The sequence below is a fragment of the Homo sapiens genome, chromosome 15 (genome assembly GCF_000001405.40).
Source record: "Homo sapiens chromosome 15, GRCh38.p14 Primary Assembly".
NCBI lineage: Eukaryota > Metazoa > Chordata > Mammalia > Primates > Hominidae > Homo > Homo sapiens.
Window position 1 is genome coordinate 82141151 of NC_000015.10, and position 16325 is coordinate 82157475.

Consider the following 16325-nt stretch of genomic DNA (forward strand, 5'->3'; position numbering starts at 1 on the left):
ACTATGATTTATTTACATCCCTCTTGGTATTTGGTACCCGGAAATGAAAAACAATACTTCAAGTATAGTCTGAAAAGGTCCCAAAACAGCAGAATGATTATTATTTTCATTAGTGATCCCTTTTAGTTATATATTATTTGTCTGAGATATATAGAAAAGAAATCTTACCATAACACCTAACATGTGTGAACTAGTAATCTTTACTCCCCTATCTCATTCGCAGAAATGTTTTAAGGGCCAGGAGAGCGGTGGCTCACGCCTATAATCCCAGCACTCTGGGAGGCCAAGGCAGGCAGATCACTTGAGGTCAAGAGTTCAAGACCAGCCTGGCCAATATGGTCTCCACATCGCCACTAACACTACAAAAATTAGTTGGGCATGGTGCTGTGTGCCTATAATCCCAGCTACTCCAGAGGCTGAGGCAGGAGAATCGCTTGGAGGAGAACTTGGGAGGTGGAGATTGCAGTGAGCTGAGATCGTGCCACTGCACTCCAACCTGGGCAATAGAGTGAGACTCGGTCTCCAAAAAAAAAAACCAAAAAAAAAAAAACAAAAAAGAAACGTTTGAAGGTAGTTTATGGAAGTAAATACAAAACAATAAAACAATAGGGGCAAAAAAGAATGAGGAAAGTGGGGCAAACAGACCACGAATAAGGGGCCAGTGGGGACAAGCTGCCTGACTGCTGCTGCATGGGTCATGCCAGCAGGCTTAGATCAATAATTGTAATTGAAACTGAATATAGTTAACATGTAATTTTGATCCATTCAATTTTAATTCCATGAAAACTATATGTTGATACTGGGGCATAGTTATGGATCACCAAGCATAGGAAAATACTATTATAAAACCTTCCAAACACACTTGGTTCTCATGATAGGTGTGTTCAATGCTTGGATGCATTCAAAGACCCTAAATGTGCCATTGTCATCACTGAGAAATTAACACAGCCATATCAATAAGAATTTCTGATCATGTGGCTCTTGACTGCAAATACTTTCATACCCTTTCCACTGGATATCTGTTCCATCATGATCACTTGTTTGTTCAGTCACTTAAATAAAGATCAGAGTTGGTTGAGTACAGCGGCTCATCACTGTAATACTAGCACTTTGGGAGGCAGAGGTGGGAGGAACGCTTGAGACCAGCCTAGGTAACAAAACAAGACCCTGTCTCTAAAAAAATTTAAAAATTAGCCAGGTGTAGTGGTGTGCAACTGCAGTCCTAGCTACTTGGGGGACTAAGGCAGGAGGATCATCTGAGCTCAGGAGTTGGAGGCTGCAGTGGACTATGATTGTGCCACTGTACTCCAGCCTGGGTGACTGGGCAGGACCCTGTGGGAGGGAGGGATGGAGGCAGGAAGGAATTGACAGAAGGAGGTACCAGAGTACCCTACTGTATGAAAGGAACCAGGGAAGAGGAATTCATCAAGGAAAAAACCAGCAACAAAAAGATTAATCAATTAAAACAGTATTGATCAGTGCTCAACTGTTAATGACTACACTATAAATATCTCAGCCTGTATTCAAGGCAGTAACCCACCCCTTCAGCTTCTCTAACTGCCAGATTCTGGAGTACACAGGGCACAGCCTCTCCAAGCCAAGGTATATCACTCACTGTCCACAGGCAAAACCATTTGAGGTTTTGCCAACTCTAAGCTCACAGTTTCTTTAACCTAGAATACTCTTAGTCCAACCCTATATTCAAATCCTTTTCATCATTCAAGGCCCATTCAAAAATTACTTGTTCCATGAAGTCTTCTCTAATACCCAAGCTCAAAAAAGTCTCTTTACCATTTGGGTGAACATTATCTGTTCTTTTATGGCCCTATGGATTCTCATATATACATTTTCTTCTTCCATAATATTAAGATTAACCTGTACATTCTACAGTCTTGAAAGCTAGAAGTTTGGTGATTAAAGGTATGTTGTTTTTTTCAGAATTTAGGAAAGGGAATAGTTGTCCACAGCAATGTTTTCTTTAACAGTAAACAATCAGGAAACAATGCAAATTTCCAATTTCAGAATAATAAGTAAACTGTATCATATCCTATTGATAAGATTACACGCAGAGGTTAAAATGAAAATTATGAATTCTAAGTAGCCAAATGAAAGCATGCCTATAAAATAAATAATAAACCTAAAAAGCAAAATATTACATTATTTCTATCATAAGGTTACAGTTATGCAAAATGTACTATTATGGACAAGGGTTGTAAAAGAAAATGGGAAATAAAGTTGGATTCCAAGGAGAAAGAGCATTCTTTCACCTTGTGATTTGTTATTGTTGGTAACACTTATGCACTAACTTTAATTAAAAACACACATACAAATAAATTGGTAGGTACTTATTCTTATACACCAGGTCACACTAACCTCTTCCTTTTGTCACAGAGCTATAAGACTGCTGAATCAGGCCAACGTGGTTGACAGGATACAGATGGGCTTCAATCAAATAGGAGATAAAGCATGCTGCAGACACAGTGGGGAACGTAGGCTGGTTGCTACTATATAGATAGATCAGCTACAAGTTTATAGATAATTGATGTTAACAGGTCAAACCCACTGTGGAAAGTTGTCCTTAGTGAGTCTGCTAGCACCTCTTACTATTATAATCAGTGACTTAAAAAAGAAGGCACAATGATCAAATCCAAAGTTGACATGAAGTTGGCTGGAAACAAACACTGTGACACAGTCAAGATAACTGGGCAAGGACCCCAGTTTTTTTTATTTTTTAGATAGAGGGTCTTGTTATGTTCCCACAGCTAGATTTGAATTCCTGGGCTCAAGCGATCTCCTGCCTCAGCCATGCAGCTGGGACTATAGGCATACGCTCGCACGCCTGGCTAGGACTTGAAATGCAAATTGTGTTAAACCAACCAAGTGTCCAGGATTTGAGAGGTCAAGCTGTTGGAGACCAACCTGGGCAACATGGTGAGACTCCGTCTCCACAAACATTAAAAAGTTAGCAGGGAATGGTGGCATGCCTGTGCTTCCTGGAGGCTGAGGTGGGAGGAGCGCTTTGAGCCTAGGAGGTTGAGGCTGTGGCAGTGAGTCATGTTTGCGCCACTGTACTCCAGCCTGGGTGACAGAGTGAGACCCTGTCTCCAAAACAAAAAAAAAAAAGGAAGGTCATGCTGAACAGCAGTTCCTATAAAACCAACTAGAAATGAGTTTACTTTAGGCTTAATAGTAGTCTTCAATGTGCTATGGTACAAAGAAAGCCAACTTAATACTAAGTTGCTGAATACAAAATTATTCCATCAATCAAAGCCCATTTCAAAGTACCATGACTTTCAAGAGACCTACTGTTTCAAATTTTGCTAATCCCAATTTCTCATAAAGCTTCCCTAGAAAACCATGTTTGTGCACTAAATAATATTGTATTTTACTTTCTAATTACTTTATATAATTAAGCTTTGTCACCTTAAGTTATGTCTCAAAGCAGGAATCACGTTTAACACAGTATTGGCACATGCAGCTCATTAAATCTTTGTTGAATTGAATTACAAAATGCTGAGGAAATGTAAAAAGAACCCTAAGTATAGAATAAGAAAAGGTTTAAAGGCTAGGCGGGTGGCTCATGCCTGTAATCACAGCACTTTGGGAGGCCAAGGAGGGAGGATCATGAGGTCAGGAGATGGAGACCATCCTGGCCAACAGGGTGAAACCCTGTCTCTACTAAAAATACAAAAATTAGCTGGGCGTGGTGGTGCGCACCTGTAGTCCCAGCTACTCTGGAAGTTAAGGCAGGAGAATTGCTTGAACCTGGGAAGCAGAGGTTGCAGTGAGCCAGGATCGTGCCACTGTACTCCAGCTGGGCAACAGAGCAAGACTCCAACTCAAAAAAGAAAAAAAAAAAAGGAAACAGCGAGGCCAGGCACGGTGGCTCACGTCTGTAATACCAGCACTTTGGGAGGCCGAGGCGGGTTGATAACTTGAGGTCGGGAGTTTGAAACCAGCCTGACCAACATGGAGAAACCCCATCTCTACTAAAAATATAAAATTAGCCGGGCGTGGTGGCACATGCCTGTAATCCCAGCTACTAGGAAGGGTGAGGCAGGAGAATAGCTTGAACCGGGAAGGTGGAGGTTGTGGTGAGCTGAGATTGCACCGTTGCACTCCAGCCTGGGCAACAAGAGCGAAACTCTGTCTCAAAAAAAAAAAAAAAAAAGTAAACAGGGACACTTATAAAGAATGTTTCTGATACGTTAAAGTACATGTGTTCCAACAATATTGGCATTTATTCCTATGTGTAAAAATAAAAGATTAAAACTATCTCATATACTCCATAAATATACCTACTACATACCTATAAAAATTAAAATTATTTTAAAATAAAAATTTAATAAATAAAAGGAAGAACTACAATAATCACAGCTGTAATTAAAACTCTTAACGAGGCTGGGCACGGTGGCTCATGCCTGTAATCCCAGCACTTTGGGAGGCCGAGCTGGGTGGATTACCTGAGGTCAGGAGTTCAAGACCAGCCTGGCCAACAAGGTGAAACCCCCATCTCTACTAAAAATACAAAAAAATAGCCGGGAGTGGTGGCGGGTTCCTGTAATCCCAGCTACTTGGGAGGCTGAGCCAGGAGAATTGCTTGAACCCCAGGGGAGCGGAGGTTGCAGTGAGCCAAGATCGTGCCATTGCTCTCCAGCCTGGGCAACGAGAGCGAAACTCCATCTCAAAAAACCAAAAAAAAAAAAAATACCCCAAAAAACTCTTAACTAGTACTGTCTAACAAAAAGAAATATTTTTAAAATGTGGTTATTACCAAAGATTTTTTAAAAATGAAGAGCAAAAAAAAAAGATTAACAGATTAGAAGGAAAAAATACAAAAAGAATTCAATGACAAGCAGGTAAAACCTCAGCAATAATCAAGCTCATTAGAGGGAAATTTCATGAGTAAAAAATGATAATAAACCACATCTTTAGAAAAGTGGATTTTAAAAGTATAGAAAGACATTTTCCTGAAATTATTTCCCCAGATAAAATGATTTTGAGATTATTTTCCTACAAAATTTCCCATTTTGACCATATGCAAGTCTATCCATTTATAGGATTTCTTGTTTTAATAATCTATGTAGAAAAAACTAACTTTTAAAAAAAGACTAAGGAAATTCATTTTGCTAAATAAAAAAGACCTGAAATCAACTTGTGCCGATTCTTGGAGAATCAAAACAACAGTCAGCAAAGTCTGAAGTCTTCTCAGAAGATCTCTAAATATCCAGACAGGAAGCAAAAGGCCTTAGGAACACAGAAGTTCTTTTCATTTCTTTCCAATTGAAGGTGTTGATTTAGAAAGAAAAAGGAAAACACAAGTGAACAGCTGACTGCATTGATAGACCCTGGACACTAGAAATTGGTTATCAATATAAAAGAGTCCCTCAAAAGCAAAGAGAAAACAGGCTTCAGAGGACATTCTCCAGTCTAAGCAAGAGGACTTCAAATCAATTCGAGAAAAAAAAAAAAAAAAAGCCAGACTGACTCTAAATGTAACTTCTTTTAAGGCAGTGGATGTGGTAGTTGGTTGGTCTCAGGGGCAAAGTATTAAGAAAGTTGACCAGTGACAATGGTAGAGACTGCATACCAACCCACATACACACAGTTGCCGCACGCAGGGTAAATAAATGGGGCTTCATAGAAGGCAGTGAGGCCCAATACAGTGACATTTGTACCTGGGTGAGGAAAGTCAAAATGATCCTTTGCTCCAGAGAGAGGTGACAAAGAACCCTGAGGGTTAAAATATATATTTCTTCCTGGAAAGTGGCAGAACTGACTGATGGCCAAGTGGGGAGTGCCAGGATAAAAATATAAGGATAGGATGACAAATGATATTTTGAGGTATTATCCTAGGGTGGCCTGGTCACATGCCGTGTCCAGGTGGTGATTTTCTAATAGAAATGAGAAAATGAACACAGAGGGGTGACTCAACAGGGGTGACTCAACACTATGCTAGGAATTCAGTCTGATAAACACCAACAGCTGATTCTGGCTTCACGTGTTGTGCTGAAAATTCATCTTCCCAGAAAACAAAGGACAAATGCCACTCCAAATGAATAATGTAGAAGAGATGGCAATCTGGGGAGAAAACAGGTGCTCCCATTATTTTGGGAGGAAATACATGTTCCCATTATCTTGAGAGCACGGATAGGCACAGACCTATGCGGGCCCTGGACTTCAGAAAGGATCATTTTGGCCAGATGTGGTGACTCACGCCTGTAATCCCAGCATTTTGGGAGGCCGAGGCGGGCGGATCACTTGAGGCCAGGAGTTTGAGAGCAGCCTTGCTAAAATAGCAAAACCCCATCTCTACTAAAAATAACAACAACAAAAAAAAAATTAGCTGGGCGTGGTGGTGCACGTGTGTAATCCCAGCTACTTGGGAGGCTGAGTCAGGAGAATTGTTTGAACCTGGGAGAAGAAGGCTGCAGTGAGCTGAGATTGTGCCACTGCAGTCCAGCTGGGGCAATAGTGAAAAAAAAAAAAAAAAAAGGAAAGATATCGTTTCAAACACATAGAGGGACAGGAAAAAAAATACAACTAACACACACCATAGGTTCTAGGATAACAGACCCTAAAATAAAATTCCTTTGCAGAGTAATGAGAGTCTAAAAGAAATCAATCATGAATGATCTCAATGACAGAAGAAGGAAGAAAGCCCCTCCTCAACCCCTATTTTAAGAGGACATGCACAGTAGAAGGAAGAAGAGGATACCAACTCAGGTGGATCAGTAGCATGTCCAAGATGCTCAAAATCAAAACAAGCTGAGTGTATGTACCAAAGTAAAAGAGCTAAAGACAGTGCAAAGAGCTTTTTCCAATACTGGTTGAATATCTCTTCTCCAAAATGAGTGGGACCAGAAGTGTTTTACATTTTTTATTTTTTTAGATTTTGGCATATTTGTATTATATACTGTTTGAGCATCCCAAATTAAAAAATAAAGGCTGGGCAGGGTGGGATTACGCCTGTAATCCCAGCACTTTGGGAGGCTGAGGCGGATGGATCATGAGGTCAGGGGTTCGAGACCAACCTGGCCAACATAGTGAAATGCCGTCTCTACTAAAAATATAAAAATTAGCCAGGTGTGGTGGCATGCGCCTGTAGTCCCAGCTATTCGGAAGGCTGAGGTGGGAGAATTGCTTGAACCCAGGAGGTGGAGGTTGCAGTGAGCTGAGACCATGCCATTGCACTCCAGCCTAGGTGACAGAGTGAGAATCCATCTCAAAAAAAAAAAAAAAAAAGTTTCAAATTTTAGATGATTTGGGATTTTGGATTTTCAGATTTGGGATACTCAACCTATACTTTCAAAATAAGGAGACATGTCTTGTCTACAACTTATAGAAACTAGTATCATGTTACAGAGGATAGCAAGAAAATAGGGGTTCGCAATACCTATGTTACCTATCTTTCTCTTCAGTGAGGAGAATGGTGAACAAACTATAGCAAGTGGAACAAGTTGAAGTGGGAGAACACTGAAGTTCACGGTAGCTCAGCAGTTGATGACTAAGTGCTTGGCCTTCTTAAATGAGTTCAAGTCTCCAGGACCAGAATTATATCTCACCATAATAAGAGAATTTGCCCTTTTGAGAAATTATGAATAGTAAGGTAGGTGCCAGACTATAGGAAAAAGGTAAATAATGACTAAACTTTTTGAGGATATAAACACTGCGTTCCATAAATTGCAGACTAGAAAGCCATATGCTAATTTTCTGTAGAATTTTAAGGAAACACTATAGACATTTGTACATGTTTATACAAGTATGAGGTAAATCTTGGGAGACAACATGGACTTTCTAATACAAAATACTAACCTAAGCTTTTTTTTTTTCTAACATGATTGGTAAGCTGATAATTGGGGGACTGTTATAGATGTAAAGGACCGTAACTTCATCGAAACATTTGATTTTCTACCTGTTGAGTTTTATTTCTCATCAGACAAGGACACATGAAAAAAATGAATAAGAAATCAATGTGTTAAGATGGTGGTGATGTGACTTCTTTTTCTTGCCATTAAAATTTTTCTCCTGTTTACTGTTGTAATGCTAATTATGTTATATAACTTAAGAAAAAAATTAAGTGTATAGACTCAGTACTCATAAGAAAAAAATTAAGTGTATAGACTCAGTACTCATACACAAATAAATATAGGAGTTCATACAACTACATGATTTCTACAGTCTAGTCAATTACCAAAAATTTGGATTCTGCTTTTTGGGGAACAGAGTGGGAAAACATAACTTTGTTTTGAAAAAAAAGAAATAGGGTTGATCTTGACTTCTCATATGAATTAATGAGAAGACGTAATTGTTAAATTTCATTAAAAGAAGAATGTTGTATTTCATGTAGGAGGTAACAGTGTAGACACAGACATGTTCTCTACTGGTTGGAGGGTATGTGAGGTGCTGTGTTCAAATATAGTTGCTTTAAGAGGGATGCTGACCAAATAAATTATGTCCAAAAGACAGCAACTGAAATGGTGAAAGGATACAGAAATCCTAACAGAAAAACAGGTGAAGGATTTGGAGTTTTTCTCCTGGATATAAAACTAGAAAACTAATGATTTATTTCAAATACATAAAAGAGTTGTTGCATGGAAGAGAGATGAATGGTGGTACAGATGATTGGAAACTAGCAGGTGACAGACATTTTGCTCAATATAGAAAAAAACACCATTAAATCACGAAGCTGGCTGTGCACTGGCCATCAATAGAAGTATTCAAATAGTGGTGGTATAAGCATTTGTCGGGGTAGGAGAGGCTGGAGAAAAGCTCTTAGGTCTTCTTCAAAGATTTGAGGGATTAAGATTTGATTTTAACTCTTACTTCCGCCTTAAGAAAGTTCTCAATGAAAATGAAAAATAGCATCTGAGAATAGTCTAGATTGGTGTTTCCCAAACAAATCTACAAATTCCATGGCTGTTAATAGGCATGCTATATTCAAATAAGGTTGAAAAGCACTGTATATGACATGCTGTATTTGGAGATTTGATTCACAATGCATACTGGCCTTAACCCAGCTATTTTTCAAATGCTGCTAATGACGCTCAGTCTCACAAAAACCTTAATGTGATGGAAGCCTAAATTTCTTTTGGGAAAAAAAACAAACAAACTTAGATTTCTGCTTTCAGGAATTAATCAGCAAAAGAACCTTCCTAAAAAGAATGTAATTAACCACATATTGACTCAAAGGGCCTCAGGGTTAGAGGAAACTTAATAATTTGGCCGATTCTCTCATCCAGGGCTCAATCCTCCTTTATATTCTCTTCACTACTGAAACAGTTCCATGATCTTGAGAGAATAAGAGAACTACTGTGTGCCAGGTGCTGTTCTGGGCACTGTATTTAAAAAAATTGTGTTATTTTAATCTTCACAATCTGTATGAATTATTATCCCCTTTCTTTACCTATGTAAAGAAACTAAGTCTCAGTGAACTAATACCAGTGAAAAGTCCAAAGAGCTACTAAGTGCCAGGGCTTCATGTCTCCTGGGATCTTAAAGGTTGCTTCTCCCAAAGAGAGAAAAATCAGGAATAGGATTTGATATAATGGTTAGCAGTGAATAAAGCCCCAAATAATTTTCTTTCTCAGAAAGAACCCAGAATTCACAAAAGCCCTTTTGTGTTATGAGTACAAGAATGTTGCCTTATTCTTTGATCATTTTCAGAACAACTTTGGTTACCCAGACTGATATGGTTATTTGCTTGAGATAAAATATGGCACAGGTTTGGATGGTAACACATATGAGCAGTTTAAACCTCATTTAGCAGACCTCTCATTACGGAAAGGATTCTATTTGTTGCAAAAGAAAAGATCTTTAGTAGTCATGTTTTTCCCCTCTCAAGATTTTAATACTTAAGATATCTGGCTTTCAAAGATCTTAGTTTGTTAGTAAATCAGAAGATGGTACAGCTTCTGCAAAACATACTAAACGAGTTTAAGATTTTTGGGTCTGCCAGGTGCAGTGGCTCACGCCTGTAATCCCAGAACTTTGGGAGGCCAAAGTGGGTGGATCACTTGAACTCAGGAGTTCGAGACCAACCTGGGCAACGTTGCGAAACTCAGTCTCTACAAAAAACACAAAAAAACTTAGCTGCACATGGTGGTGTGTGCCTGTAGTCACAACTACTTGAGAGGCTGAGGTGAGAGGATTGCTTGAGCCTGGTAGGCAGAGGTTGCAGTGAGCCGAGATTGTGCCACTGCACTCCAGCTGGGGCGACAGAATGAGACCCTGTCTCAAAAACAAGATTTTGAGTCTAGGAGACTTCACTGTTATTCAGGGCATTTCTCACTATCTTTACCTTTTCTTCCTTACCGAGAACATCACCAGTGGCCATGATGTCACATGTGTACATAGCTGCCATCAGGCGCTGAGGTTTCACTTGCAGTGCATAGCGACATGCTTCTTTCATGGTGGCAATTAGCTGTCCTGAGAAAGGTCCATAGCAGTCAGTGAGTGGAGATTCTCCTTTCTGTGATGTCCTCTTCTCAAAGGCCTCAGAGCAGCCATCTTGTAGCTCTTGGTTTTCATTTCCACCAGAACAGGTTTCATTTTCCTCCTGTCCCTCTTTTGCCAGATCACTTGCTCCTTGTTCCTCAAATTTACTTAGGTCCCATTTTTCCAGAACAAAACAGACACCCATGAGAGGCTCCTCACACATGGGGCCAGAGAGGGTTGCTAGTTGGAAGCCACTCACAATGCTATTGCCCAAATCTCGGTATCTACTGGCTTCTTTTGAAGCTTTGTCAGCTGGACCTGTCCATACTGAGTTCTGAAAATCTTCACTTTTATTGACTAGTATGTTGGGCCCACATTTTCTTGGGCCAAATGACCAGATTTGGTCAACAATGTTCCTCCATCTTCTCCCTGTTAGGTGTTGCTCCAGTTTTCCTTTGAATTCCCAAATTTTCTCTTGGGTCTTCTGATGAATCATGTGAGTATTTTCACCCTCATTCAAAGAGGATGTCAACTGCTCCATAGAACGAATCAAATCACTATTTTCTTCCAGAATCTGGGTGACTTCTTCTGGAAGGGGCATGGCTCGAACACTGAGCGTGGCAAGTTTATTGGGAGTTGTTATGGTGATTAGCCCGTCAGAGTCAACTTGGATTCCTTCAGGGATTTTGCTTTGATCTTCTTTCATTTGGTGTATGACTGCAACTTTTTGCTGTTTGCCTATTTCTTCATTGACCATGTCAACTTTTGGGGGTTTTGTGATTGTTTCTCTGAATGGAATAATAGGTTCAGATACACTGATATGAATCTTTGCAAACCTACAGACAAATTCAAGAGAAATAACAGAAGGTTAAAATCAAAATAGCATCAAAGCTCCTGTGTAGAAATTACTACACAGTGGAGATTCTGTAAAAACATAGGAACATAAAAATTATCTTACTATGAAAGATCTGCAATTTACATTATATAACATTCAAAAACTGCTTTCTTTCTGATTGAAAAGACTACTTCTAATGGGAATATACCTCCAGGGAAATCCTTGCATGTACTGGAATTTCACTTTTTTTTTTTTCATTTTCAAGATATATAAACCACCCATTTAGATAAGAATGTTTTGAGCAGAAAATAAATGTTTTAATATATGAAATATGAATGCTTTAAAACAGTATTTGCCCATCTAAGAGTGTGGAGAAGAAAAGCTCAATGATTAAAACTCTAAATAGACATAGAATCACAGAACCTCAGGATAGCTAGTCAAATCTTCACAATGTATTTGGCTTTGATAATGAGGCTTATAGCAAGGCTAGCATGATCCATGAGTTTGTCTAGAGCAGCACTTTCCAAAAGAACTTTCTGCAATGGTGGAAATGTTCTATATGTTTATTGTGATTGCTGAGCCCTTGAAATGTGGCTAGTACAGCTGAATAAATTTTTAATTTTATTTAAATTTAAATAGACACATATAGCTACTAAGCATTTGAAATGCGGCTAGTATGACTGAGGAACTAAATTTTTAATTGTATTTGATTTTAAACAGCTGCATGTGGGTAGAAGCTACTCTTCTGGACATCATAGGTCTTGAGCCCCAGTCTGCCACCAAGTTCAGAAAGCCCCTTTTCCCACATAATATCAAATTTGATATTGTTGTATATTGTATATTTACAATCTTTTTGTATATTCACAGGATATACAACAAGATGGACCCGACATTGTATGTTTTTAAAACTACTTTGATATTCAAACCTGACAAAGACAGTATATATACACAAAACTGCAGTTCAATCTTACCTAAGAATTCAGATATAAAATCTAAGATAAAATAACAAAAACTATGGATATGCAGGTGTGTGCATTAAAAAAAAACTTATTATGTATGAGGCACTGTGTTAAGTGTTTTACATGTAGTATTTCTTTAGTAGGCACTAGTACTATCTAATTTTGTAGAAGAGAAAACCAGATAAGAAAGATTAAGTAATTTCTCCAAATAGTCTGTAAGTGAAGAAGCTAGGATTCAAATTTAGGTCTGACTTCAGAATTCACACTCTCAGTCATTATGCTATACTGAAAAATGAAGTTACTCAGTACATTAAAGGAATAATTTACTACAACACTACGAAGTTTGTATTATAGGTTATATGAAAATTAATTTGTATTAGATCTGTTAATACCACATTAAAAATATCAAATAATCTATGTAGCCACTTTTAAATATGCTAAATTGGCATTCAATAAGATTCAATACCTATTCTTGATTTTAAGAAAAAAGCCACTTAAAAATCTTAGGAATAGGAAAATATTTCTAAAATTATCATTACATAGAGAAAAATATGCTCATATACTTAGAACACTCAAGAAAACCAACGGCAAAGCTTCTGAAACTACGAGAGAGAACACATCTACAACACTGCCCTCTTATTCCTGTAACATAGTCAAAAGAGCTATGAGCCACTTTAGTCCTTCTAATTCCTGAGGCTCCCAAGAAGTCTCCTGTAGTAATCATTTATATGATTAATTAAAACCACTCCAAGCTGTGGAAGGAAGTGTGTGATGGTTGCCACACTCACAAAGCACCTCAGGACCAAAGGTTCTTTAAGTCCTAGCAATGCAGAGCCTGTGATGACACTAAAAAAAGTGCGGTAGGCTCAGGCTACATCATGGCAATTTCCTGTGGCTTCCTGCTCTGATTATTACTACCTTGAGATCTGGATGCTAAGAATTCTGACAGTTTCTCTGGCCTGGAGACAATATAGTCTCCTTGTCTCCCATTCCTGGACATAATCCATTCCTGAAGATGTGTGTAGAAGTTGAAAAAGATTATATACTACCAAAAGGTAGGCTCTGTCCTATGAGAACTAAACAAATTCTATAACATTATACACATTCTTAATGTAAGCATAATTGTGAAATGTAATAGTCATATAGAACAGTGCACAAAACAAAAATCTACTGATCTATGATAACTTACCTCAAAGTGAACACCCATGTAAACTACATGGTATAGTCAAGAAACAGAACAGTCTTAGCCCTCAGAGGGCCCCAATGCCATTAAGTATGAAGGTAACTGCTATCCTGATTTTTATTGTAATAGCCTCCATTTTTTTTAAATCACCTAACCATGTAACCCCTTATACTCCACAGTTCAGTTTGGACTGCACTTCTTTTTGTTCTTTTTTAAAAACAGGGTCTTGCTCTGTCACCCAGCCTGAAGTGCAGTGGTGTGATTACAGTTCACTGCAGCCTCGAGCTCCTGGGCTCAAGCAACCCTCTTGCCTCAGCTTCCTGAGTATCTGGTATTACAGGCATGCACCACCTGCCCGATTAATTTATTTTTATTTTTTTAGAGATGAGGTCTTGCTATGTTACCCAACCTGGTGCACTATGTTTTGAACTTCATATAAATACAAACAAACACTTTTTGGGGGAAGTGAAGTGGCTTCTTCTGTTCAACATTATATTGTGAGATTCACCTATGTTTTATATAGCTGTAGTTTTGTTCACTGAGATCATTCTATAGAATTCCATTGTATGAATACGCCATTATTTATTTATTTATTTATCCATTTAAATGTTTGAGTTGTTTCCAACTTTTGGCTACTAAAATTTTGTTGCCATGAGGCCAGGTATGGTGGCTCACGTCTGTAATCCCAGCACTTTGGGAGGCCGAGGAGGTTGGATCACTTGAGGTCAAGAGTTTGAGAACAGCCTGGCCAAGATGGTGAAACACCATCTCTACTAAAAATATAAAAGTTAGCTGGGCGTGGTGGCGTGCACCTGTAGTCCCAGCTACTCAGGAGGCCGAGGCAGGAGAATTGCCTGAGCCCAGGAAGCGGAGGTTGTAGTAAGCTGAGAGTGGACCACTGCATTCCAGCCTGAGCAATGGGAGTGCCTTTTCTCAAAAAAATAAAAATAAATAAATAAATAAACTGTTGCTATGCGTATTCTTGATGCACATTTGCCTAGCTTTGTGTTGTGTATATACAGGTACAAATGGGAGTAGATTTGCCAAGCCACAGGAAGTGCCTATCTCCCATCTTAGCAGATCATACCAAATCATATTCCAAAATAGTTGTACCAATTGATATCCCCACTAGTTGTGTGGGTGAATTCTTGTTGTTCCACATCTTTGCCACCACTTGATAATATCACTTAAAAATATTTAACCACTCTAGTGGGTATGCAGAAGTATCTCACTTTGATTTTAATTTGCATTCCATCAATTAGTAATAAGTTGAATAGTCTTTCATGTTTATTGGCCTTTGGAAGCCTCTTTTATGAAGTACCTCTTCAAGTCTTTGTACAGTTTTTCTATTGGATTGCTGCTCTTCTCATTTATTTGTAGGAATTCCTTCCATATTGGGGATATAAGTCTGTTGTCTGTTACAAGTGGTATAAAGGTCTTCTCTAACCCTGCGGTCAGCCTCCTTATTATCTTAATAGTGTCTTTTGATGATCAAGGTTTTCCTTTGTCATTAGTGCTCTTAACATGCTATTAAGAAGCTTTTTGCCACCCTGAGGTCTTGAAGATATTCTCTTATACTATCTTCTAAACACTTCATGGTTTTGCCTTTTACATTTTAACCAACAACTCACCTGAAATAAATTTCTGAATACATCATGAGGTAGCGGTCTAGTTTCTGGAATCTGGTAGAAGCTTCTACAAAATCCCACATAAATGCAGCAGCAGTTATTCTATTTTTTTTGAGACAGAGTCTTGCTCTGTTGCCAGGCTACAGTGCAGTGGTGTGATCTCAGCTCACCACAGTCTCTGCCTCCTGGGTCAAGCAATTCTCCTGCCTCAGCCTCCTGAGTAGCTGGATTACAGGTGCACGCCACCACATCCAGCTAATTTTTGTATTTTTAGTAGAGAGGGAGTTTCACCATGTTGGCCAGGATGGTCTCGATCTCCTGACCTCGTGATCTGCCCGCCCTGGCCTCCCAAAGTGCTGGGATTAGAGGCGTGAGCCACCGTGCCTGGCCAGCAGCAGTTATTCTTATTCTATTATTAGTACCAGGTGTTGTTGTATAGTTACTACTACCACCGATTTTACTGTGGTATAAAGATTGAGATAAATAGTGCTTAACACAGTGACTGTTATTTAATATATGACTATATCAATCATTTATAATTATTATTTTTGTTATGATTATGATTATAGTCCCAGAAATTTTAAAAACAAAAAGAAGGAAGGCCATTACAGGGCAGTTTATAATTTTTTCTACTAGTAAGCACAGAAATGTATATTAACCATGAATATCTTTCATTTGTCTTCAAGATTGGTGAAATTTTTAGAAAATGATAAACTATGCAAAGTTGGCAAAAGTTTGAGAAGAGGCAAGTTCAAATATTTATTGCTAGTTATAATGTAAATTAGAACAGTCTTTCTTGAGGAAAATATGGATCATAATCCTTAAAAATATGCATACTTTTTGAGCTAGCTATAATACTTCCAGAAGTTTATCTTAACCAAATAATCAGAACTGTGTATATAGATATTTGTGTATATTTGAATATGCATAGAACAGTGCAGATTTATGAATCTGAATGTAATGGTGGTTATTTCTGCATGATAACTGAATGATTCTTTTTCTTCTTCTGCATTTTCCTAATTTCTGCAATAAACATACATTATCTTTGGAACAAAGAAGAAAAATGCCCGTTATAAAAATTTGGGATGCCCATTTTATAATACATATCATCTTTATAGAAAAACATAAAGATTTCCAGAAGGTTTACATTGTAAAGACCACATCAATAAGAGAAGAAGTCTATCCTAATTACATAGCCAACATTTACAAAATAATATCTTGTTTTGTTGTCCTGGTATTTTGTGTGTTTTGTGTACATGCTTAAAGTAAAATACATACACAGA

The 16325-nt window shown here is 38.3% G+C and overlaps 1 protein-coding gene across 6 annotated transcripts in view; it reads right to left on the minus strand.

Moving 5' to 3' along the window:
• Positions 1-16325, minus strand: part of EFL1 (elongation factor like GTPase 1) — a 132502-nt gene that overhangs the window by 10918 nt on the left and 105259 nt on the right. For 5 of the 6 annotated variants that reach the window (NM_001040610.3, NM_001322844.2, NM_024580.6 and 2 more), the window contains one exon: positions 10315-11273. In NM_001040610.3, the coding sequence (NP_001035700.1) occupies positions 10315-11273 (959 nt within the window). Of the gene's footprint in view, positions 1-10300; positions 11274-16325 lie in introns of all 6 variants that reach the window. The other variant, NR_136410.2, reaches the window with a different exon arrangement.